Raw genomic sequence first — 24,537 nt, 5'->3', positions numbered from 1 at the left:
GCTGGGACTACAGGCGCCCGCCACCACGCCCGGCTAATTTTTATGTATTTTTAGTAGAGATGGGGTTTCACCATGTTAGTCAGGATGGTCTCGATCTCCTGACCTCGTAATCCGCCCTCCTCGGCCTCCCAGAGCGCTGGGATTACAGGCGTGAGCCACCGCGCCCGGCCCCATTACAATAATTCTTATCTCTTCAAGATCTGATAGACTTTTCCTCTTCCCTCTGAGTCAAATATTAAAATCATGAGTGAAGTTCGACCATTCAGGACTTTTTCCAGCCATTCAAGACAGTGTTCCAACTCTTTTATCTTTAACAAAAAGTAAAAGAAAAATAAATACCTTTTGGGTTATGAAGATGGGCATGGATTGAAACAAATGTAAACTATAGGCATTTATAAATATAACAAAATTTTACCATAAAGTCTTCCTGCTGTAAAGGCTTATCTTCAAGACCAGGGACAAAGAAGCCCCACTTACTAAAATTCATTGCTCAGAATCCTAATTAACTACCTGGGAAAGACTTATGACTCATCCTCTAAATAACAGCTGCTTTTTAACACAGTAAAACCTTTAGAGAAGACAGGGTCCTGACACCTTTGAAGAGCGGTGACACCTTACAGAAACTTTCGTTTTTGTTCAGGGATTCTCTTGAGAAAGGAAGGGATTCAGAACCTCCTGAGGGGATTTGCAGTAGAAATCATTATTCCAAGTCATGATTGTGGCATCCATTGTTTTACAAGAACTTTGAATTTTTAAGTGGAAAATGTGAGATGAGAACCTGAGATTTGAATGACATAAGACATTGACAATATTTCAACTAAATAACCACAGGAAGTTACTTGGTTGAAAAGCACACAGGCTCTTGCAGGGCAGGAAAACCTGCAAATTGCGCAGAAGCAGCTGAAAGGGGAATGGCGGGGGTCGGGGGGAGGTGGGGGTGGAGTGTAGGTGGGGGACGGGAAGCTGCACTTTCTTTTTTCAATTGAAAGAATTTTAATTATCTGCAGGGCCGTAAAAGAGAAAAAAGTCCTCTCCCCCTACTATGTCTTCAGAAGACCCACGTGTGAAAAATTTTAAATTTTAAGTAATTGCTTTGAAATCTCGGATGTAAAGCTTTTCAGGTTTTTATAGAGTTTCATAGTAAGTCAGGAATTCCGTTTGAAAAAACAGAAGGAGGGAGGGACAGAACAAGGAACGTGCATAGGATCTGGCCTACTTTTATTTAAGCGCTGAGAAAAGGCAATATAAATTCTTTTAGCTCATACTGTTTTAACTTTAAAACGTATCACCATGAACCTTTCTCCAAACATCAGAAAAAATTTTCCCAAAAGAGCAAACAACAAAAAAATCAGGCTGGTTTCGCTGACTGCTTCCTGGACTTAACAACTATAGCATGTCTCCAGAGGTGGGGCCTAGAGCTCCGCCCACTTTTTTGATGTTTTCAAACAGGTCCGCATCGAGAGACTATAAGCCCTGGTCTGCGACTGGCAATCACAGTGGGCAGCCCGATTTTCTGCTGAGTAGGCGCTGTGATTTCAGAATGTCTGGGCGAGGTAAAGGTGGCAAGGGGCTGGGTAAGGGAGGCGCCAAGCGCCACCGGAAGGTGCTGCGGGACAATATCCAAGGCATTACAAAGCCGGCGATTCGCCGTCTCGCCCGACGTGGGGGCGTCAAGCGCATTTCTGGTCTCATCTACGAGGAGACCCGGGGAGTCCTCAAAGTCTTCCTGGAGAACGTGATCCGTGACGCGGTGACTTACACGGAGCACGCCAAGCGCAAGACCGTCACGGCCATGGATGTGGTGTACGCGCTGAAACGCCAGGGTCGCACCCTTTATGGTTTCGGCGGTTGAGCTGTCCCCACAGCTTCTCTACAGACTCCAAAAGGCCCTTTTCAGGGCCCCCAAACTGTCACAGAAAGAGCTGTTAACACTTCCTAGATAACGGGTAAATATCAACCCTTTGATGTCGCCTTCCGGATACCGGAAATGGGATATTCGCGGCCCGAGCATCTGCTCGGGATTAGACTTGGCGGGCACGGGGAGAACTAGACCTCAAGGAGGGGGTTCCGCCTGTGCTTAGGTACGACCCTGGAGGTGCCGCGCAACGCAGTAGTGACCTCCCAAAATCCAGACACCGGATTTTGTTTAGAAGAGTGCTTGTACAAAGCCCTAGTGTTAGAACTGGTCATGGTCTTCTAAGCGGCCGAGTCGTTGGCCCATAAGCACGTATCGGATGGCTTCCATGTAAATCAGGGCTTAGGTGACTTCCTGCTGGCCTTCAGGGGTGAGCGTCACGCGTCAAGGGCGGTTCGTGCGTGTGCAGGGCTTGCTAAGTCGCAGGAAATGGGAGGTCGCAGCACGCCGCTACCTGCAAGCCCGAAAGCTGAATGCAGCTCTAGTGTGGCGCGTAGTCTTACTGGGTACTATTTTACTTAATCGCTGACGTTGAGTGAGAGGTGACCAAGCTCAGATGCTGAGATTAAGGCGGCCGGGCGAAACTCGCGACACCCTGCGATTCCCTCTTAGCCAGCTGCGTAAAGTTGCCTACGCCAAGCGGGTAGCGTCCTGCTCGGCCACCTGGCGGCGGGCGTGGAGTTGGCAGGCAGGCAGTGGGGGTCACGCCGGCATGAAAGGCCAGATCACCTGCAGGTCGCCAAGTTGCCGGGAATCCCCCGCTCCGAGCAGTGTCATGCCCATCACAAATAACCCTATCGCAGCCGGGAGGTAAGCCCTGGCTTCCGAGTAAAGGCCCTGTTCAGAGCAGCCTGGGGGTCTAGAAGGGAAACGGGTGGCGGGTTAGGTTCTAATAAGTTCAGTGAGAATGTAAGAGAGACAGCTGTGGGATTACCAAGCGCGTGGTCCTACCCGGTACTCCCGGGGTGTAGTGAGGGTCTTGGAGAAAGGTGGGGCTGGTGCTACCAGTTAAGCGCACTTTCCAGTAGGCGAGGGTAGGGGGCGGAAGACCTGGTGATCAGCCTGCGTCCAGGCCGTAGGGGTCGCCCCGGCCTCCGGTAAAGCTCCGTATAACAGCCTCGCTCTACTCCTGGCTCTGTCCTTCCTAACTTCTCATTAGGCTTGGCACCCCAGGATGCGGTGTGATCCATGCCGCGTTAACTAATCTGCCCCTTCTCTACCTTTTCTTTTTTCCTTTCTTTTCGAGACCAAGTCTAGCTCTGCCACCGAGGCTGGAGTGCAGTGGCACGATCTCGCCTCCGCCTCCCGGGTTCAAGCGATTCACCTGCCTCAGCTTCCGGAGTAGCTGGGATTACAGGCCTGCGCCACCACGCCTGGCTAATTTTTGTATTTTTTTTTTTTTTGGTAGATACGGGGTTTCACCATGTTGGCCAGGCTGGTCTTGAACTCCTGGCCTCAAGTGATTCACCCGCCTCCGCCTCCCAAAGTGCTGGCATTTCAGGCGTGAGCCACCACGCTTGGTCTTGCTCTAGCTATTCTAAACATGAAGAAGTCATATAGCTTCCTTGGTGCGGTGGGCTGAAGTCACTCTAAGGGAGTTTCCCAGCCCCAGGGGTTAAAGAACTGGAGTCAAGATTGGAACCCAGCTGGCGAAGGATTCCGCACCGCTAGATCTTGACATTTGCCTCTTCTTCTGCCAGGAAGGCTCCCCTGTTCCTTTTTGCTGACGTGTCATTTCTAAGTACTTTCTCCTACTCCATAAAGACTTCAAGTGAGTACACAATACTGGTGTTAGTTTAATTTCTAAGACAGTGAGACACTCGGAGAAGTTCAATTTTCTTTAATGCAAGTGAAAAATTGAGTTACTTAAAAGAAATAGAGTCTGGCATACTTTCGTGCCCTCGATATTTGTTGCATGACCAAATGAGTGATTTTGGGTTTCACATAAATTAAGGATGAAAGTTAGGGCCCCGATGGAGGATAGAAATACTGTAGATATTTGTATGACAATTAAAACTCTTCCTTAAGTATTTAACTTATATGGAATTGTTTAAATATTTCATGGTTTTGGGGTTTTTTTTTATTTTTGTAGTGGTCTCAATTCTTTGATTAGAATAGAACTTATATTTTCCCTTGTAGCATAGTTATTTTTTTGTTTGTGTTTTGTTCTTTATAAAATATAACCTAATTATCTAAACCCAAGAAATATTTATTTTTGTCTGTGACTCTGAGTCCTATGGTATAGTAAGTACCCAGTCCTGACAGTAATCATATCTTCCAAACCAAAACTGGGTCACACGGTTCAATAACTGAACAGAATATCTCAAACTGAAAACGATCAAGATTTTCTGAAGTTTACTATTAATAGTAAAATTGCTTACTAAAAATGTTAAAGAACTTGATTTAAAACTCTGTAATGCCTCACTTAAAATGTGAATGAGGGGGGCGGGGTGGGGGTGGCTATAATGCCAGCACTTTGGGAAGGCTGAGGCAGTAGGATTGCTGGAGGCCAGGAGTTTGAGACCAGCATGGCCAACATAGTGAGACCCCATCTCTACATAAAATAAGAATTATAAAATGTAAAGTGAATGGAATGCATTGAAATTTGATCCTGTAGCAAAGTCATCCCTTTTGAATTTTGAACATTTGTTTAATGCCTCTTTTCCAAGCATATTTTGAATATTCAGAGATAAATGAGCAAGTTACTGCCATCAAGAAACTCCTATTTTTCTAGGAGAGAAAGGGGAAAGACGTGTAGTTGTACACATATGGTTTGCTCTAATAGAGTGGTATAAATCAAATGCTATTGGTATACAAAAGGACAAATTTTGTCAGCCAAGTGTATGGGTATCTTCAAAGAGCACAGGTGCCATCTGTTCTGAGCTAATGACCCATTGAAGAAGGCCACACCAAATTTGGGGGAAAAGCAGCATAAACAAATGCCAGAGTATTTTCCAGGCAGGTTGTATTTGGAGAATCTCCTAATGTTGTATATTTAATTTGTCCTTTGTCCAAGAATAATGCAATGAACTAGGCAACTAGTTGAATAAAAATTGAAACCAAGTTCAAACAAGCCTATTGAAAAATGGGCAAAAGACTGGAAAAACATGGCCAATAAGCGTAAGAAGAGATGTTCAGCTTGATCAGTCATCAAGAAACTACAAATCAAGACCACACTGAGGCTGGGTGTGGTGGCTCATGCCTGTAATCCCAGCACTTTGGGAGGCTGAAGTGGGCAAATCACTTGGACAGGAGTTCAAGACCAGCCTGGGCAACATGGTGAAACCCTGTCTCTACTAAAAATACAAAAAGTTAGCTGGGCATGGTGGTACACACCTGTAATCCCTGTTACTCGGGGGCTGAGGCACAAGAATCACTTGAACTCTGGAGAGAGAGGTTGCAGTGAGCCGACATCAGCCACTGCACTCAAGACTCTCGATCTCTCTCTCTCAAAAAAAAAAAAAAAAGACCACAATGAAATACAACTTTGGACTCAGTAGACTGACAAAAATTAACAAATGTTACACAGAATCTCTTATATTGCTGGTAGGAGTATAAATTGTTTCAATTATTTTTGAAACTAAGGGTTTGCATTATCTTGTGAAGTTTAAGATAGATTCACATATATGCTCAAGCAGCAATTCCACCTCTGGGTATTTACCTAAAGGAAATGATAGCATGAATGCCCCAGGAGACATGGTCATTAAAGTTCTTAGTAGAACTGCTCACAATAGCAACAACAAACCAAATGCCCATTGACGAGAGTGGATGAATAAATTACAGTGAAATATTTTGCAGTCAAAATTAACAGATAAATCCAATATGACTTAACAGTGGTTTACAGCGAATGTTTTGTTTCTCTGCTGACACATCAATACTTGTGTCTTCATATGTTTAGCATTTTTATTCTGAACTTATATGTGGTTGAAGGTCATCTGTGGGAGTCAGAAACTAAATTGAGCATGCTGCCTCCAGAGAGAATTAGCATTTGCTTGTTTTTTTCGGGTAACATACTGCTATGGACTGGGGCCACTTTAGCCCTGTTTGAGTATCCTAGGCTATTAGTAGAGTCAACTTTTACTTCTTACAGCTTATTCCCAAGGCTTATTCTCCAGTGTAACCCTAGATTTATTTTTTATTATTTTTATCTTTTTTAAGATTCAAGGGATACACATGCAGGTTTGTTACATGAGTATTGCATAATGCTGAGGTTCAGGCTTCTGATGACCCCATCACCCAAGTAGCAAACATAGTACCCGATAGGTAGTTTTTTAGTTTTTCAACCCTTGCCCCACTCCCTCCCTTCCCATGAATCCCCAGTGTTAGAAATGCTTGTTCCCCAGTGCCGTAAAGAAATAGCACTTGAACATAAATTTAATTTCTTCAGCAAGGCCATTTTTACTTTCTGCAGAAAGGGTACACTCACTAGCAGTTTTGTCACCAGAGTACACAGAACAAAGGAGACAGGGTCATTTATAACCTGATGCGTCCACACTACTGCTGTGTCTGATTTCCACTGGCTGGAACGGGACCTCACATTCTGTATTTGTCCTGATTGGCTAGCAACTTAGAACCTTTTAAAAGAGGCAAAGGCAGAGGAGAACAAAGGAAGGAGGAAGTAACTTGTGGAATGCTGAGAAAGGTAAAAACACCTTCAAATAAGGAAGAGGAACAGGCTATGACCTAATGCTTGCTTGGACCAGTATAAGCATGCCAGGGCAAATATTTAGGCTAAATTGTGGGAGATAACATAAAGTACATTGATTTCTTTATTACAGATAGCAGATATTTAAGAATGTTGGCACAGGTCTTTGAATAAATTTTGCTTCTAAGGAAAGTTACTGTTTATTCCTAATTAGATGGGGAAGAAAGTCTTTGAAGAGGAACGTCTACTTTTTTTTTTTACACCAGTGTCTATTGTTCCTATCTTTGTGTCCATGTGTACACAATGTTGAGTTCCAACTTACAAGTGAGGACATGCAGTATTTGTTTTTCTATTTCTGCATTAATTTGATTAGGCTAATGGCCTCCAGCTACATCCATGTTGCTGCAAAGGACAGGATTTCATTCTTTTTAATGGCTGTATAGTATTCCGTGGTGTATATGTACCACATTTTCTTTATCTAGTCCACCATTGATGGGTACCTGGGTTGATTCCATGCCTTTGCTATTGTGAATGGTGTTGTGGTAAACATGAGTGCAGGTGTCTTTTTGGTAGAACGATTTATTTTCCTCTGAGTATATACCCAGTATGGGATTGCTGGGTAAATAATAATTCCATTTTTAGCTCTTTGAGAAATCTCCAAACAGCTTTCCACATAGGCTGAACTAATTTGCATTCCCACCAACAGTGTGTAATTGTTCCCATTTCTCAACCCTGGAAGGGTTATTCAGATAGTGTTTGCCAGACTGCTGGAAGTGTATTTCACTAACTATAGTTTGATTCATATGTCTTCCGTGACTTATCTGTAAATTCCTTGAAAGAAGGAACTTCTGACCTAAAATTTTGAATAAAACATTAAAGTTTTAGGGAAATTTGGCTGGGTGCAGTAGCTCATGCCTGTAATCTCAGCACTTTGGGAGGCCAAGGTGGGAGGATTGCTTGAGCCCAGAAGTTCAAGAACAGCATGGGCAACATAGTGAGACCGCCATCTCAAAAATAACAAATAAAATAAAGTTTTGGGGAAAATTCTTATATATTTAGATACTATGGTAACGTTTTAATAAAATAAACTGAGTTGCTTTTCATGTATTTCTGTTTTCTAAAAATTATGTGCTATATTAATTACCTGTTCCTGCCCTGGAGATGATGTTTGGTTATATTTTCAGGTTCTTTCACTATTTTTATTTTTGTCTGTTTGGACTTACAACTTTTATCTATGTTAAATCTGGTATTTATACTTCCCTTTAAAGCCATATATTTTATCAAAAAATTATTAGAGAAAATTTATACTCACATGGTATTTTCTAATATTAAAAACTCCTTAAAAAAACTCATGTCTGTCACCTTGCTCATTTCCTTTTTTTATTTTTTGAGACAGAGTTTCCCTATTGTCACCCAGGATGGAGTACAGTGGCACGATCTCGGCTCACTGCAACCTCCACCTCCCGGGTTCAAGCTATTCTCCTGCCTCAGCCTCCTGAGTAGCTGGGCTGGCAGGCGCCCACCACCATGCCCGGCTAATTTTTGTACTTTTAGTAGAGACGAGGTTTCGCCATGTTGGCCAGGCTGGTCTCAAACTCCTGACCTCTGGTGATCCGCCCACCTGTTGAGTGCTGGGATACAGGCATGAGCCACCACGCCCGGCCCACCTTGCTCATTTCTAATTTTGTTTTATCTTCTGATTATATTTTTTCAGAAATTTGTCTGTTAGTTTCTTCAAGAAATTATCAATTTATCCTTTTAGAAATGTTTAATAATTTCTATTGTTATTTCTTATATTCTAACCTTTTTTAATTTTTATGTTTTTGTTTTTGTTTTTTTGCATTTCTTCTTTTCTCCTCAGTTCATTTTCGATTCTTTGTTTTTAAAATAACACCATTGGCCTGGCGTGGTGGCGCCACCTGAAATCCCAGCATTTTGAGAGTTTGAGATGGGTGGATCACTTGAGCCCAGGAGTTCGAGACTAGCTTGGGCAACATGGTGAAACCCTGTCTCTACCAAAAAAATACAAAAACTAGCAGGACATGGTGGCATGTGCCTGTAGTCCCAGCTACTTGGGAGGCTGAGGTAGGATAATGACTTGAGCCCGGGAGGTCAAGGCTGCAGTGAGCCACTGCACTCTAGCCTGGGTGACAAGGCAAGACCCTGTCTCAAAAATTAAATTAATTAAATAACACCATAATTTATGGGTGTGTATTTATTTATAGCTTTAGCCACATATAAACTCTTAAAATGTTATAGTGTATTTTATTACTTCTAAGTAACCTATGATTTTATTTTTACTTCATCTTAACTCACTTATTGAAGAGGTTAATATTTTAGGTAGTTGAAATGTTTTCCTGTTTTAATTGTCAGTATTAATTTCTAGTTATAAATTTGGACTAAAGAATGTGACCTGAGCAATTTCTTCATTTTGGATATTACTGAAGTTTTATTTGTGACCAATATTTGAAACCATTTCATGGTTCCTGAACAAGAAAGCATGGTATGTGCTTCAAAATACAACATTCAACTTATAGCTGTATTCAGTGTTGTTAATTGTATTTTGAAAGTAAAAACTAACCATTGGTTTTTGTCTACCTGATATATATGTGCCTGATAGTATCTTGTTGTCCCCTGCTATGTTTTTGTTTCTGTCAATGTATCATATTTTAAATCATAGTTATTTTATAAAATGTGATTGTGAGTTATTATTTAAACCATGCCTTCTTTAGAGGTTGGACCTTTTATCAGTGTGAATAACTCTTTTTGTCCCTTGGATATCAATTAAATTGAATTCTAATTTTTTTTTTTAACCTTACCTCAGGTGCTGTTTGGCTCCTGCAGCCAAATACACTGATGATTTAATTAAAATGTTTATCTCCCCCAAATTTTAAGAACTTTATTTGGGTTATTTGGAATAATGTATAAAATATCTATATAGATTATTATATAATTCAGGGGGAAGCAAATTATCAGAACAATTTCATGTTATACAAATAACATCAGAAAAATATCTTAAATTATATGGCATATTCTATTGATTCATCCACAAATTTATAAGTCCTTACCACCTTTCATTATATTGGTACTAGGCATTATAGTAGTGCTAGGCACTATAGTAATGCTGGGGTATAAACAAGAATAAAACAAAATAAGTTCCTTATTTCAGGTAACTTACAGTATAGGTCAGTGGTTCTTAGCTTGCTTTTTAATTATGAATTCCTTTGAAAGTCTAGTAAAATAATCCAACACCATTATTCCCCATTGCACATACCCCCAGATGTTTTAGACATATTTTCAATTGCTCCATGGACCTTAAGAAAACTTGGTTGGTGTGCAGTTTGGTGTATTATGGGTAAGACTGGACCTGGTGTTAGAAAATCTGCATTTGAGGCTTTGTTCTGACAGTGTCTAGTGTAAACATGGGCAGACCACTTAAACCTCTCTTTAGTCTTCTCTGTAGAATGATGATAATACCATCTAATTAGCAGGATTGTTGTTTTATTCAGTGAGACAGCATATGTAAATAACTTAGTAAAATAAAAAGCAACGTGTTTATAATGGTCTAAGTTATCTTCGTGCTTTATTTATGATTAGTGAAAAGACTAAATTCAAATCTCTTTTATGTGTCATAACTTTTATGCAACGAATACAGATATAGTTCTTCCACTTCCTTGTATCAAGATTTACTAGTGAAACTGACATTTTTTCCTTTGGTATAGTCAGATTGAGTATTAAGTTTATCTTTCATGTCTATCATTATTCTAAGTTAGCTGAACATTGACTAGTATATTCTATTTTTCAAGGTCTGTGAATAGTTAGAGCCACATTACAAAGTCAGTACAAGATGTAACTTACTCATGCAACCAAAGGTCAAACCAGGACTATTAAGGGTATCACTGGAGTTACAGTGACTTGACACAGTTGTGGCAAATGGAAAACCAAGAGTTTGCAATCTGGTTTGGAGGTCCTTGGTAAAATTTCCAAGTGTGACAGATGTGTCCTTGACATTTCTCTCTTTCTGTACCTATTCTCTTCCATCCTTCAAGCACCCAACACTTTCACACTTTGTATTGGTCTGTTCTCATGCTGTTAATAAAGACATACCCAAGTTTGGGTAATTTATAAAGAAAAGATGTTTAATTGACTCACAGCTCCACATAGCTGGGGAGACCTCACATCATGGTGGAAGGTGAAGAAGGAGCAAAGTCACATCTTATATGGCAGCAGGCAAAGAGAGCTTGTGCAGGGGAGCTCCCATTTTTAAAACCATCAAATCTCATGAGACTTATTCACTGCCACAAGAACAGTATGGGGGAAACCACCCCCATGATTAAATTATCTCCCCCTGGCCTCAACCTTAACGTGGGGATTATTACAATTCAAGGTGAGATTTGGGTGGGGACACAGCCAAACCATATCATTCCACCCTGGCCCCTTCCAAATCTCATGCCCTCACATTTCAAAGCCAATCATGCCTTCCCAACAGTCACCCAAAGTCTTAACTGATTTCAGCATTAACTCAAAAGTCCACAGTCCAAAGTCTCATCTGAGACAAGGCAATTTCCTTCCACCTATGAGCCTGTAAAATCCAAAGCAAGTTAGTTACTTCCTAGATACAATGAGGGTACAGGCAATGGGTAAATATACCCATTCCATGGGATAAATTGTCCAAAACAAAAGGGCTACAGGCCTCATGCAAATCCAAAACCCAGCGGGTGGTCAAATCTTAAAACTCCAAAATGATCTCCTTTGACCACATCTCACATCCAGGTCATGTTGATGCAAAGGTGGGTTCCCATGGTCTTGGGCAACTCTGCCCCTGTGGTTTTGCAGGGCACAGCCCCCTTCATGGCTGCCTTCCCATCTAGCGTTTTTGAGTGTCTGCAGCTTTTTCAGGTATGTGGTGCAAGCTGTTGGTGGATCTACCATTCTGGGGTCTGGAGGATGGTGACCCTCTTCTTACAGGTCCACTAGGCAGTGCCCCAGTGGGGACTCTGTGTCAGGGCTCCCACCACACATTTCCCTTCTATCCTGCCCTAGCAGAGGTTCTCCATGAGGGCTGTGCTGCTGCAGCATGCCTTTCCCTGGACATCCAGGCATTTCCACACATCCTCTGAAAACTAGGCAGAGGTTCCCAAACCTCAATTCTGTGCACCCGTAGGCCCAACACCACATGTAAGCCTCCAAGACTTGGGGCTTGCACCCTCTGAAGCAATGGCCTGAGCTGTATGTTGGCTCCTTTTAGCCATGGCTGGGATGCAGGGCACTAAGCCCTGAGAAAGGACAAAGCAACAAGGCTCAGGGTCCAGCCCACGAAACCACTTTTTCCTCCTAGGTCTCCAGGCCTGTGATGGGAGAGGCTGCCTGAAGACCTCTGACATGCCCTGGAAACATTTTCCCCATTGTCTTGGTGATTAACATTTGGCTCCTCATTGCTTATGAAAATTTCTGCAGCTGGCTTGAATTTCTTCTTAGAAAATAGGTTTTTCTTTTCCATCACATTGTCAGGCTGCAAATTTTCTACTTTTATGCTCTGCTTCCTTTCGAAACATAAGTTCCAGTTACAAACCATATCTTTGTGAATACATAAAACTGAATGCTTTTAACAGGATTCAAATAATCTCTTGAATGCTTTGCTGCTTAGAAATTTCTTCACTAGAAACCCTAAATCATCTCTCAAGTTCAGAGTTCCACAGATCTCTAGGGCAGGGGCAAAGTGCCACTGCTTGTTATGCTAAAGCATAACAAGAGTCACCTTTGCTCCAGTTCCCAACAAGTTCCTCATCTCCATCTGAGACCACCTCAGCCTGGACTTTATTGTCCATATCACTATCAGCATTTTGGCCAAAGCTATTCAACAAGTCTCTAGGAGGTTGCAAACTTTTCTACACCTTTCTGTCTTTTTCTGAGCCCTCCAAACTGTTCCAACCTCTGCCTGTTACCTAATTCCAAAGTTGCTTCCACATTTTCGGGTATCTTTATGCAGCACCCCACTCCCAGTACCAATTTATTGTATTAGTCCATTCTGACGCTGCTAATAAAGACATACTCAACACTGGGTAATTTGCAAAGGAAAGAGGTTTAACTGACTCATTGTTCCACATGGCTGTGGGGGGGGGTGGGGCTTACAATTATGACAGAAGGTGAAGGAGGAGCAGTCACGTCTTAATGGCAGCAGGCAAAGAGAGTTTGTGCAGGGAAACTCCCATTTATACAGCCATTAGATCTCGTGAAACTTATTTGCTACCATGAGAACAGTATGGGGGAAACCGCCCCCGTGATTCAATTATCTCCACCTGGCCCTGCCCTTGATACATGGGGATTATTACAATTCAAGGTGAGATTTGGGTGGGGACACAGAAAAACCATATCACACTTCCTTCTGACAACTCAAAGCCTCTCATTACATACTTTATTTTAAATGTAGATTATGTGTTTTTCCTATAATTCCTTTGCAACATTTATAAGCTGATGTTTTAATTACCCATAGGTAGTTTTTGTTTGTTTTTTTGAGGCGGAGTCTCACTCTGTCACCCAGGCTGGAGTGCAGTGGCACGATCTCGGCTCTCTGCAACCTCCACCTTCCAGGTTCAAACAGTTCTCTGCTTCAGCCTCCTGAGTAGCTGGGACTACAGGCACCCACCACCATGCCCCACTAATTTTTGTATTTTTAGTAGAGTCAGGGTTTCACCATCTTGGCCATGCTGGTCTTGAACTCCTGACCTCATGATCCACTCACCTTGGGCTCCCAAAGTGCTGGGATTACAGGCTTGAACCACCACACCCAGCCCGCCCAATAAGTAGTTTCTTAATAATTGGCATTGAATTAATCATGATTATGATCATTGTCTGATAATAAATTTATTCATTATGAAATCTAAAATCCTATGTACATATTTTTGTAATTATAAAATAATTTACCACTAAATTCCTCCCTATAAACTCAATCAAATCATAATATCCCAAAATACAAACAGCACTCTTACAATCTTAAAAGTTATAATAGTGTGCTATGGTTTTAATATTTGTCTCTTCCAAAACTCCTGTTGAAATTTAATAACTCCATAACTGTAAGAAATAAGTTCCTAGACCAGGCACAGAAGCTCATGCCTGTAATCCCAGCAGTTTGGGACGCCTAGACAGACGGATCACCTGAGGTCAGGAGTTTGAGACAAGCCTGGCCAACATGGTGAAACCCCATCTCTACTAAAAATATAAAAATTAGCTGGGCATGGTGGCAGGTGCCTGTCATCCTAACTACTCGGGAGGCTGAGGCAGGAGAATCGCTTGAATCCGGGAGGTGGAGGTTGCAGTGAGCCGAGATTGCGCCATTGCACCCCAGCCTGGGTGACAGAGTGAGAGTGAGACTTTGTCTCATAAAAAAAAAAAAAAAAAAAAAAAAATCTTTTCTTTATAAATCACCCAGTTTCAGTTATTCTGTTATAATCAACAGAGAACAGACCAAGACATAATGCATATCAATAAGTTTTCCACAATATTTATTGTGCTGTCTTACATTTTTAAATGGGATTTGTGCAATTTGATGAAAAGCAAATTGTCTTAGAGATAAATTATATATTAATCTTGTAATTTGAAAAACCATTGAATTAGCTGCTCTAGATATATGAAAAGGAAATACTTAATATTTTTCAATTAAATATCTACATTTTTGTGTTGTCTTTATTCATTGTCATCATCATCAGCTCTGAACTCTTGTTTACCCTTTGAAGAATAAGATGAAGAAACTGGGGAAGGTGCTTCCTGTGTTCAGCCTTTTTATAAAACAATTTCGTTACAATTGTATTTCTAAGCAACTTAAGTGGTTTTGTATTTTTCATTTAATCTGGTGGTCTTTATCTTTTAATAAGAGAATTCAGTTCGTTCACATTTAAAAACTGTAAATATGATTTTTCCTTCCTTCTTGTGTTTTTCTATTGTTTCTTTTGCTTTTATTTATTTTTTGAGACAGGGTCTCACTCTGTCGTCCAGGCTTGAATGCAGTGGCACCATCATGGCTCATTGCAGCCTCGACTTTCTGGGTTCAGGTGATCCTCTCACCTCAGTGTCCTGAGTGGCTGGGACTACAAGCACGTCCCACCATGCTGGCTAATTTTTTGTATATTTTTGTAGAGACAGGGTTTCGCCATGTTGCCCAGGCTGGTCTGGAACTCCTGGGCTCAAGCAATCTGCCCACCTCGGTCTCCCAAAGTGCTGATATTACAGGCATGAGCCACCACACCTCACCTTATTGTTAAGGTTTTTTCAAGATACTATTTGTAATGAAAACTGCTAGTGATCCCTTCATTGTCCATTCTCTCCTTTGTTCTCAGTATCAGAACCTAAGTTCCACTGAGAGTGGTAAAGCACTCAGTGGGAAATGTGGGTTTTCCAGTCCAACTGCAAACTCCTTGCAGAGGGTGACACAGACGAGAGAAGCTTTGTGCTTCAGTCTTCCTCCTTTTTCCTGCTTGGAATATGGAAGTAATAATGGCCATATAGCATTCATAAGATGACACTGAAGATGGAAACTGAATATTAATGATATCGGAACAAAAAAGATAAAAGGAAACTGGACATTGATGAAATCATGAGGCCACTGCATCAGTCTTAGGTAGTTCTACCTTCAGATATATTGTACATGAGGGAAGAGTAAACTTTTATGTTTAAGCCCCTGTTATTTCAGCTCTCTGTTACTAATTTCCCCGAAGTGATACCAAAATGGTAGAATATGTATTCCTCTTTTTTTCTTGGTTAATTTAGAAGTAATACTGTATTTTTCTATTTCATTGGTTGTTACATTCTCTTTCGCGGCATGCATAGTCAAACTACATTTCTTTGGTCTTTTATGAAATACCAGTTATTGTACATCCAGCCACATCACTACTTCTCCCACCTCAGAAAGTAGAGACTTCCAGAATATTTACTTCCCCACCTTCCATCTTTACTCTCAAGTTGACATCTTTTCATCACTTCCGTTTCCTTTCTCTGTATCCCCTGTATCAACTTCAAAGATTTAGGGAGATTAGCACTTCAATTCTAGACTGTTATTATGATTTCTCTTGCCGAGTACCTCTATTATTTCAAGCATCTTTATTTAGCATTTACATTACGAATTCCCAGTCACTATATCATTATCTACTCAGACTTAATTATATATACAACAGATGAATCATTGCTCACTATTTGTTCTCTTCATCTTCTCTGATTTTGAAGTCTGTGTTCTGATTTATTTTTCGATTGAATAGTCCTTTTAAAAGAGTTTTCCTTAGATGAGTTATGTGGGTAATAGAAGCCGTGGGAGTGCACGGCAACTTATTAAAGCTTATGTACATGACATGTGAGGTTGGGGCATGGAAAAATACCGAGGCACTGTGTGTATGTTCTTTGTGCATGAGAATGAAACTCCTTGACCTTGAAAACAGGACAGGGAGTGGAGTCCGTGGTGTGATAAGGAATACTGAAAACACCCTGCTGAGCATGCAGTTTGAGCGCTTTTACAAGGCCACAGGTGTCTCACGACCCCACCTCAAAAAAGCCATCTAGTGGATGTTTGTGGTTTAACAAGCCCTTTCAATAAATCCTTGGCGGACGGACGCTGGGGCGGACTCTCTCAGAAGAGCTGCCCCACGGCCCCACTCAGCTGGAATTGTCTGAGAAGTTGGCGTTCACTGCAAGCTATAAGCTCTGCAGAAGCTAAGAAATTTTGCACGCTATGACTATCTTTTCTTCATGCTATCTATTAAATGCTATCTTAATGATATTTCAGTCTCTTTTTTTTTTTCTCAGAAGTCTAGTGTTCCATGGTACTGTAGATTCTGAGGTCAGCTAAGAGTCCCATGCTAAGAGAATATTTGAAATGTGCTTAGCACAAGGAAATGGTAAATGCTTGAGGTGATGCATATTCTAATTTCCCTGAGTTTATCATTACACATTGTTTCTTTTTATTTTTGGTTTTATCACGATGTTATTTGTGACAAACACTGCTTGTGACGCCCTCCATTCTCTCTTTTGTTCTCAATATCAAAATCTAAACACGCATATACCAAAACATCATATGTACCCCCTAAATATGTACAATTATTATGTATCAGTAAATATTTAAACATAAGGGAAGAGTATGATAACAAATAAAGAAGACCCCCCACGATAGTTCTTTGGCCTTTATCTTATTGATTCCACGTCTCTGGAGAACCCTAATGCAACCTTCTAACACTTCATCATGTTTATACACGTTTTATTATGTATTAAGAGCACAGTAGTTTGCATTTTTCATTTCCTTTGAACCTATATACAAAGGTACGTGGCTAAGGAAAAGATATTATATCTCTAGATAACCTTAATCTATGTACAAATGTTTTTCCCCATTGTCTTTTTCCCATTATCCTCCAAATATATTCATATCCCATCGTCTTTTATTTTTTTATTATTATTATTTTTTTTTGAGACAGAGTCTCAACTGTCACCTGGGCTGGAGTGCAGGGGCACGTTCTTGGCTCACTGCAACCTCCGCCTCCTGGGTTCAAGTGATTCTTCTGCCTCAGTCTTCCGAGTAGCTGGGACTTCAGGCACCCGCCACCACGCTAATTTTTTGTATTTTTAGTAGAGACGGGGTTTCATCATGTTGGCCATGCTGGTCTTGAACTCCTGACCTCGTGATCTGCCCGCCTCGGCCTCCCGAAGTGCTGGGATTACAGGTGTGAGCCATCACGCCTGGTCCCCATCTTCTTTTCCCTCAATCTGACCTCCCCAAAACTTACCCTTGTTTCTCACTAGTGCTCCTTACTGCCAGATGCTCTGAAGCGCAGTCTCTATTCATTGCCTCCGCTTCCAGTCACACTCACTACTCAAACAAATTTAAAAATCTTCCACACTTATAACATACTGAAATTACTCTAAGGTTATCAATGACCTAATTTTAAAAACCCAATTTTGTAGCTATTTTCTCATTACAAAAGCAGTGGTTATTTAATGGGGGAAATGGCAAAATATATAGAAAAAGCACACACAAAAAAACAAATTTTAAAAGCCTCCTAAATACAGCACTCAGAGGTCATCACTGATGAGCATATAATATATGCTAATAATGTGTTAGCATATATTATATGCAAATATATTCACATGGAACGGCATATTTGTTTATATTTGGGAGAATTTTCAAACATATTTATAAGCAATGGATAATCAGAATAATAGTATACATATTATTTAAAATTTTTCTTTTTAACTTAGCATCTCAAGAATATTTCCATGTCAAAAAATACGTTTCCACAATGTAACTTTTATTAAACATCATATAAATACACCATGACTTATTTAACCAATTTCCTATTGTTTGACATTTTGTTTGTCTCCTTTTGAGAGCTATTATGAATTATGCAAATGTTATTGTATATAAATCAATGTGAACCTCTGTGATCATTTACTTAGATATATATCCACAGGTAGAATATCTACATCAAGGGAAACGCATGGCTTTTGAAATATGGGCCTAACTTGCCCTTTTGAAGTTCTGCAATTAATGTATTGAAATCCCCATTTCTTCACACTTTCATCAATCCTGAATATCACAGTTTTAAAGCTACCATTTTTATCTGAAAAATGATATTTTGCCTTTTCATCTGAAAAAATGAAAAATAATATGGCTCAATAGTTATTTGTTGAATGAATGATTATAAAAAAGATTGATCACTCATTCATATAATATACATAAGTCATTTAGATTTTCTTTTTTAAGAATTGTCAAGCCAGGCATGGTGGCTCATTCCTATAATCCCAGCATTTTGGGAGGCCAAGGCGGGCAGATCGCTTGAGGTCAGGAGTTGGAGACCAGACTGGTCAATATGGTGAAACCCCGTCCTTACCAAAAATATAAAAAATTAGCCAGGTGTGGTGGCACATGCCTATAATCCCAGCTACTCAGGAGGCTGAGGCAGGAGAATCGCTTGAACCTGGGAGGTGGAGGTTGCAGTCAGCCGAGATTGTGCCACTGCACTCCAGCCTGGGTGACACAGCGAGACTCCATCTCAAAAAAAAAAAAAAAGAAAAAAAAGAATTGTCAGTTTCTGTTCTTTACCATCTTATTTTCAATACAAATGTTAGTCTTTGAAAATTTGCTTTAAAGAATCATTTTATATATTATGACTATAAACTGGCATGTCATATTTTTCAGATATATTTTCCCAATTTCTCCTGACATTTCATTTTAGTTTTTGAACTATCAGAAACTTGAAAATACTTATTAAATGACTTGAAGTTTTCCTAGTAAATAAAAGGAGCATTTAAAAAATTACATAGGTTTTAACTAAAAAGTTATAAAATCTGAAACATGATATTGGGTTATGTGAACATAGTAAAGCAAATATTGGTTAACGTTTTGAACTTATACTTCAGTAATAATATTTACTCCTCCAAATAGCAGGGTATGTGCCTTTGATTGGTGTGGGGGTAAGTAAGGTTTTTGAACATTTAATCTTTAGAAACAAAGGGAAAGGTAGAACATTTTCGGGGGGTCACAACAAAGTCTCACTTTTTCATTTGGCCATGTAATCTTGAAGAAAGATAGAGTATACATGACCGAGAGGCAGAGAATGGAATGTTTTTCTATTTGCCTCTCCGTCGCATGCTGCACAGGTAGCAATTTTTTCTAAACACCATGTTTGGATTCTCTTAGCTCTGTTTGTAAGCACTGTTCTTTGCTCTGTTTGCTTGCTCACCCCTTAAAATTGCCAGTGCTTATTTGTAAGGGATTTCATTCATCTTCTCTACATCCGATTTTATCTGGTTTAACTGGGCAATAAAATTCACAAATGCACCTTCTTTTTTCAAACGTTTTTTGCTTTGTTTTGTTTTTTGTTTTTTTGTTTTTTTTTGAGACAGGGTCTCGCTCTGTCGCCCAGGCTGGAGTGCAGTGGCACGATCTCCACTCACCGCAACCTCTGCCTCCCGGGTTCAATCAATTTTCATGTCTCAACCTCCTGAGTAGCTGGGACTACAGGCGAGCGCCACCACACTCGGCTTATTTTTGTGTTTTTTGTAGAGACAGGGTTTCACCATGTTGGCCAGGCTGGTCTCAAACTCCTGACCTCAGGTGATCCACCCACCTCAGCCTCCCAAAGTGCTGGGATTACAGGTGTGAGCCACTACGCCCGGCTGAGACCAACTTTTTTTTGTTTTTTTTTTTGAGACTGAGTCTCGCTGTCTCCCAGGCTGGAGTGCAGCGGCGCCATCTCGGCTCACTGCAAGCTCCGCCCCCCGGGGTTCATGCCATTCTCCTGCCTCAGCCTCCTGAGTAGCTGGAACTACAGGCACCTGCCACCACGGCCGGCTAATTTTTTTTTTTTTTTTTTTGTAGAGACAGGGTTTCACCATGTTCGCCAGGATGGTCTCAATCTCCTGACCTCGTGATCCTCCTGCCTCGGCCTCCCAAAGTGCTGGGATTACAGGCTTAAGCCACCGCGCCCGGCCAGCTTTTTTTTTTTTTTAACTCCCATATGTCCTTATGAAATGCACCTTCTTTCTAAATTAATTATCTTTTTCCTCCAAACTGTTCCTTATAACTATAAATAATGTTATCTATTACAAATATTGATAGAGATTTATAGATGCTGAACAAACAAATCCCAAACTTTCAGAGGCTTAATGCAATACAAATTAATTTCTCACTAAAATAACAGTTCAGTGAAGGTGGGTATTTGTAGTCAGAAAATAGTGTTCCTTCTGGATTTGATTCAAGTGTGCCTAGTTGTTTTAATCAAGTGAAGTTATAAGAATATGATGAGTGTTCTCTAACACTGATCTTCTATCTTCTACCTGGAACCACAGGTATGCCACCACACCCAGCTATTTACAGGAAATCTTAAAAGATGTCACACATGCTGAAGTCAGTGGAGGTGTGGTGTGTGGCCATTCAATGGTGTTCAGGTGACTACACTAATGCCATAAAAGCTTTACACAGTCTGGGATAAGGGTGCTCAATACATCATAGTTTTGTTCTTTATAGAAGATATATTCTCAGGAAACAAAATCAACACTTGCTTACAATTAGAGGCTTACAGAAAAAAAGTAAACCAGCAGGCATGATAAGAGTTCTATGACTGCTCTCCAATTTATTAAATTTGTATTCCTCTAGGGAATTCAACCCTACCATTCCCAACACATCCAAGTATTTATTCTAAGTACAAATCTCCCGTGCTGCCTTAGAGGATTCGGAAAAGAAGATGGGGCAATAGTTTCTTCAATGCATTCTTGTTTACCATAATCATATGTATTATATATGACAAGCATTTTCTTATACCCTAGTGAAACAAATAATAGGACTCAGGGTCTGTGCAATTACATATAGTAAAAACAAGTATTTGCAAAACTGTTTTATAAGTGTAACACTAGAAATAAGGAAAAGAATACTGGTATAAAAAACCAGGAAGAGTACTTTTTTAAGAGGAGTCAGGAAATTTATACCAGAATTTATGCACTACACCTCTGACCTAGTCTCTAATAGAGGGAAGGGAGAAATGGTGCCAGGGGCATAGGAAATGACTATACCACTGTTAAGGAATTTAGATTTTCATCTGAACGAATGTGAAGTTATTTAAGAATAATCACAGGAGTTGTATAAACCAAATTTCTGTTTTAGAAAGACTGAGCGCAGTGGCTCATGCCTGTAATCTGAGCATTTGGGGGAGGCGAAGACGGGCAGATCACTTGAGGTCGGGAGTTCAAGACCAGCCTGGCCAACATGGTGAAACCCCATGTCCACTAAAAAAAATACAAAAATTAGCTGGGTGTGGTGGCGCACACCTGTAATCCCAGCTACTCAGGAGGCTGAGGCAGGAGAATTGCTTGAACCCGGAAGGCAGAAGTTGCAGTGAGCCGGGATCGTGGCACTGCACTTCCGCCTGGGCGACAGAGCAACACTCCATCTCAAAAAAAAAAAAAAAAAGGAAAACAGCTAGGAATGGCAGTATGCATCTATAGTCCCAGCTACTCAGGAGACTGAGGACGGAGGGTCACTTGAGCCCCGGAGTCCAAGTCTAGCCTGAACAACAAAGTGAGATCCCATTTCAAGAATAAGGAAAACAGAAAAATGAATTAATTTATAGAAAGAATGAAAGAAAAATAAAAGAGATCAGTAAAATAAAAACCTTAAGAAAACAAACAAAAAAAAAAAAAAAATAGGAGAACCAAAGCCAAAAGCAGACTTTTTGTAAACAATAATAAATTAGAAAAATGTCTAAGAGTAATTTTATTTTATTTTATATATTTATTTATTTATTTTTGAGATGGAGTCTCACGCTGTTGCCCAGGCTGCAATGCAATGGCGCCATCTCAGCTCACTGCAACCTCTGCCTCCCAGGTTCAAATTATCCTCGTGCCTCAGCCACCCATGCAGCTGGGATTACAGGTATGTGCCACCACACATGGCTAATTGGTTTTCTTTCTTTTTTTTTTTTTGTATTTTTAGTAGAGACAGAGTTTCACATGTTGGCCAGGCTGGTCTCAAACTCCTGACCTCAAGTGATCTGCTCACCCTGGCCTTCTAAAATGCTGGGATTACAGGCGTGACCACAGTGCCCAGCCTGCTAAGAATAATTTTAAACAGCACACATAAAGAAAGAATATAAAAACAATTTAAGAAAACGCTATGAGTAACTACAAGCTAAGTTTTTTACAATCAATAGCTAATTGCATTTACCAGTATTTTTCCTGACATCTGATTCACAGTTGTTTCTTGCATCCTGTTCCCTCTCCTGGACTCACTTGACATCTTTCTGAACCAGGGCCCTTTAGTATTTCTTTTAGCAAGAATGTGTGGGTTGCAAACTTTATCTTTGTATGTTTGAAAATGTCTATATTTGGTCTTTATTTTTTAATGTTAGTTTAGCTATTTATGAAATTCTAGATTGAGGGAAATTTTCTCTTAGCACTTTGGAACTATTTAATTATGGCAACTGTTATCGTAGCATGAAAAAGTAGCATGCTTTCCATCAGACTCTCAGTCTTTGAGGTGTTTTGCCTCTAGTACACTTAAAGATATGTGGGTTTGGCCAGGCGCGGTGGCTCACGCTTGTAATCCAGCACTTTGGGAGGCCGAGGCTGGTGGATCACGAGGTCAGGAGTGCAAAACCAGCCTGGCCAACATGGTGAAACTCCATCTCTACTAAAAATACAAAAAAATTAGCCAGGCATGGTGGCAGGTGCCTGTAATCCCAGCTACTTGGGAGGTGAGGCAGAGAATTGCTTGAACCCGGGAGGCAGGTTGCAGTGAGCCGAGATCACACCACTGCACTCCAGCCTGGGCAACAGAGTGAGACTCTATCTCAAAAAAAAAAAAAAAAAAAGATATGTGGGTTTCGATTTGGGAAAATTCGCGGCCACTTTCTTTTTAAATATTGCTTGTTTTTAATTTTCTTCATTTTTTACTTCTGGAACTCATAAAATACTAACATAACAAAATAATTATTAATAGTATAAACAGTATGCATAAGTATACTTATAGTTAATATTTTCTGAGTGCTTACTCTTTTTAAAGGGTGATTCACAAAAATTCTATGAAACAGGTGCTGTGTTTCCACCTGTTTTACGGATGAGAAAGCTAAGAACATTGGCTGATAAGTAAAAATAGCTAGCATCATACTGTCAGTAAACAATGGATTCAAGATTTAAATTATTATAATGTAGCTCCAGGGTCCGCACTATTAACCCCTTACCAAAGTACCTGGGTCAATCGCTCATGACCCAGCCACTTGGTTTTGCATCTTCTCTCTCTATGGCATTCTGGGTCGGGGCTCCATATACTCTTTAATTTTACTGTGTCTCTGATTACTTAAAGATTGTGTCCACATGACTGACTGGACTTCTCAGCTCCGTTCCAGGCTTAAATTGATAGCTTATATTTAATGCTCTTTGGGCTCTTGTGCACCTAGCAAAGGTTGGCATGGCCCTGGTCCTGGTATGGAGGCTGCCAGTCTTCTCTCTTCCCACTCTGAGCAGCAGCTTGATACAGGCCACACTTCCCAGCAGGGATTATACTTTGTTTTAAGCCATTGCTTCGGAGGTGTGAGGGCCCCCATTTAAGTTCCGTTCCTAGTTTCTCCCCAGATGGTGGGCATTAATGGATCATGTCACCTGCCCACCCACCACACCGCACCCTAAAATTTGAGTTTCTGGATCTTCAGTCTGTTTCTAGCAGGAAGGCTCATTCTCTCCTCACTCATTATTTATCCTAAAATGAGTTTATTCAAATTAATGTATTAATTTACCACCTAACTAAAGATGATGCTCGAATTTATGTTTCTTACCTAAACCTCTTTTGAAAGCATCAGACCCGTGTTTTCAATTACCAACATTTTCTGGCTATTTGGTTTTTAGCTCTTTGTAAATTGTTGTTTATCTTTACGTTTATTTTTTATTTTTTGTTAGGAGTCTTGGAGATTAGTGGGAATATGTGAACTCAACACACTCTCACAAGAAATTCTCCATTTAATCTTAGTGCTTCTTTCTTTTTTTTTTTTTTTTTTTGAGACGAGTCTCACTGTGTCACCCAGGCTGGAGTGCAGTGGCGCAGTCTCAGCTCACTGCAAGCTCCACCTCCCGGGTTCACACCATTCTGCCTCAGCCTCCCGAGTAGCTGAGACTGCCACCATGCCTGGCTAACTTTTTGTATTTTTAGTAGAGATGGGGTTTCACCGTGTTAGCCAGGATGGTCTCGATCTCCTGACCTCATGATCCACCTGCCTCGGCCTCCCAAAGTGCTAGGATTACAGGCGTGAGCCACCGCACCTGGCCTCTTTTTATAATTTAATCTTGATTTTTTTAATCAAAATAAAACATGTATTTAGTCTTAAAAATCCAATTGTTTTACAAAGTGTATAACGAATGACAAAAATGCTGCACCTATCCCTACACCCAGTTTCTGCTCTCCAGATATCAACCAGCTTTTTCTTCTGGTAATTATCACTATATTTCTAAATAACAT

The 24,537-nt window shown here is 40.5% G+C and overlaps 2 protein-coding genes across 2 annotated transcripts in view, besides 3 other annotated features; both read left to right on the top strand.

Annotated features, from left to right (window-relative positions):
- Positions 1-1,493: 1,493 nt before the first annotated feature.
- On the top strand, positions 1,494-1,905 carry H4C16 (H4 histone 16). Its single transcript, NM_175054.2, has one exon. It carries the CDS (start codon positions 1,541-1,543, stop codon positions 1,850-1,852), a length of 312 nt encoding a protein of 103 aa, NP_778224.1. The 5' UTR covers positions 1,494-1,540; the 3' UTR covers positions 1,853-1,905.
- Positions 1,676-2,272: an enhancer, noted in NCBI's record as "NANOG-H3K27ac-H3K4me1 hESC enhancer chr12:14923287-14923883 (GRCh37/hg19 assembly coordinates)". NCBI's record gives its function as "activates a minimal SCP1, AML or CMV promoter by ChIP-STARR-seq in primed H9 embryonic stem cells {active_cell/tissue: H9 hESC(primed)}" and the evidence as "EXISTENCE:reporter gene assay evidence [ECO:0000049][PMID:30033119]".
- Positions 1,682-2,011: an enhancer, noted in NCBI's record as "active region_6052". NCBI's record gives its function as "activates an Ori minimal core promoter by ATAC-STARR-seq in GM12878 lymphoblastoid cells {active_cell/tissue: GM12878}" and the evidence as "EXISTENCE:reporter gene assay evidence [ECO:0000049][PMID:35858748]".
- LOC105369669 (uncharacterized) overlaps positions 1,968-24,537 on the top strand; it is a 36,138-nt gene continuing 13,568 nt past the window's right edge. Inside the window, exons 1-2 of the mRNA XM_047429947.1 lie at positions 1,968-2,725; positions 3,616-3,686. Coding sequence (XP_047285903.1) covers positions 2,472-2,725; positions 3,616-3,686 — 325 coding nt within the window. The 5' untranslated portion in view covers positions 1,968-2,471. The remainder of the gene's footprint in view (positions 2,726-3,615; positions 3,687-24,537) is intronic.
- Positions 2,273-2,868: an enhancer, noted in NCBI's record as "NANOG-H3K27ac-H3K4me1 hESC enhancer chr12:14922691-14923286 (GRCh37/hg19 assembly coordinates)". NCBI's record gives its function as "activates a minimal SCP1, AML or CMV promoter by ChIP-STARR-seq in primed H9 embryonic stem cells {active_cell/tissue: H9 hESC(primed)}" and the evidence as "EXISTENCE:reporter gene assay evidence [ECO:0000049][PMID:30033119]".

Source organism: Homo sapiens, chromosome 12, assembly GCF_000001405.40.
Source record: "Homo sapiens chromosome 12, GRCh38.p14 Primary Assembly".
NCBI lineage: Eukaryota > Metazoa > Chordata > Mammalia > Primates > Hominidae > Homo > Homo sapiens.
Note: the sequence above shows the minus strand (reverse complement) of the source record. Positions and strands in the feature narration are given on the sequence as shown.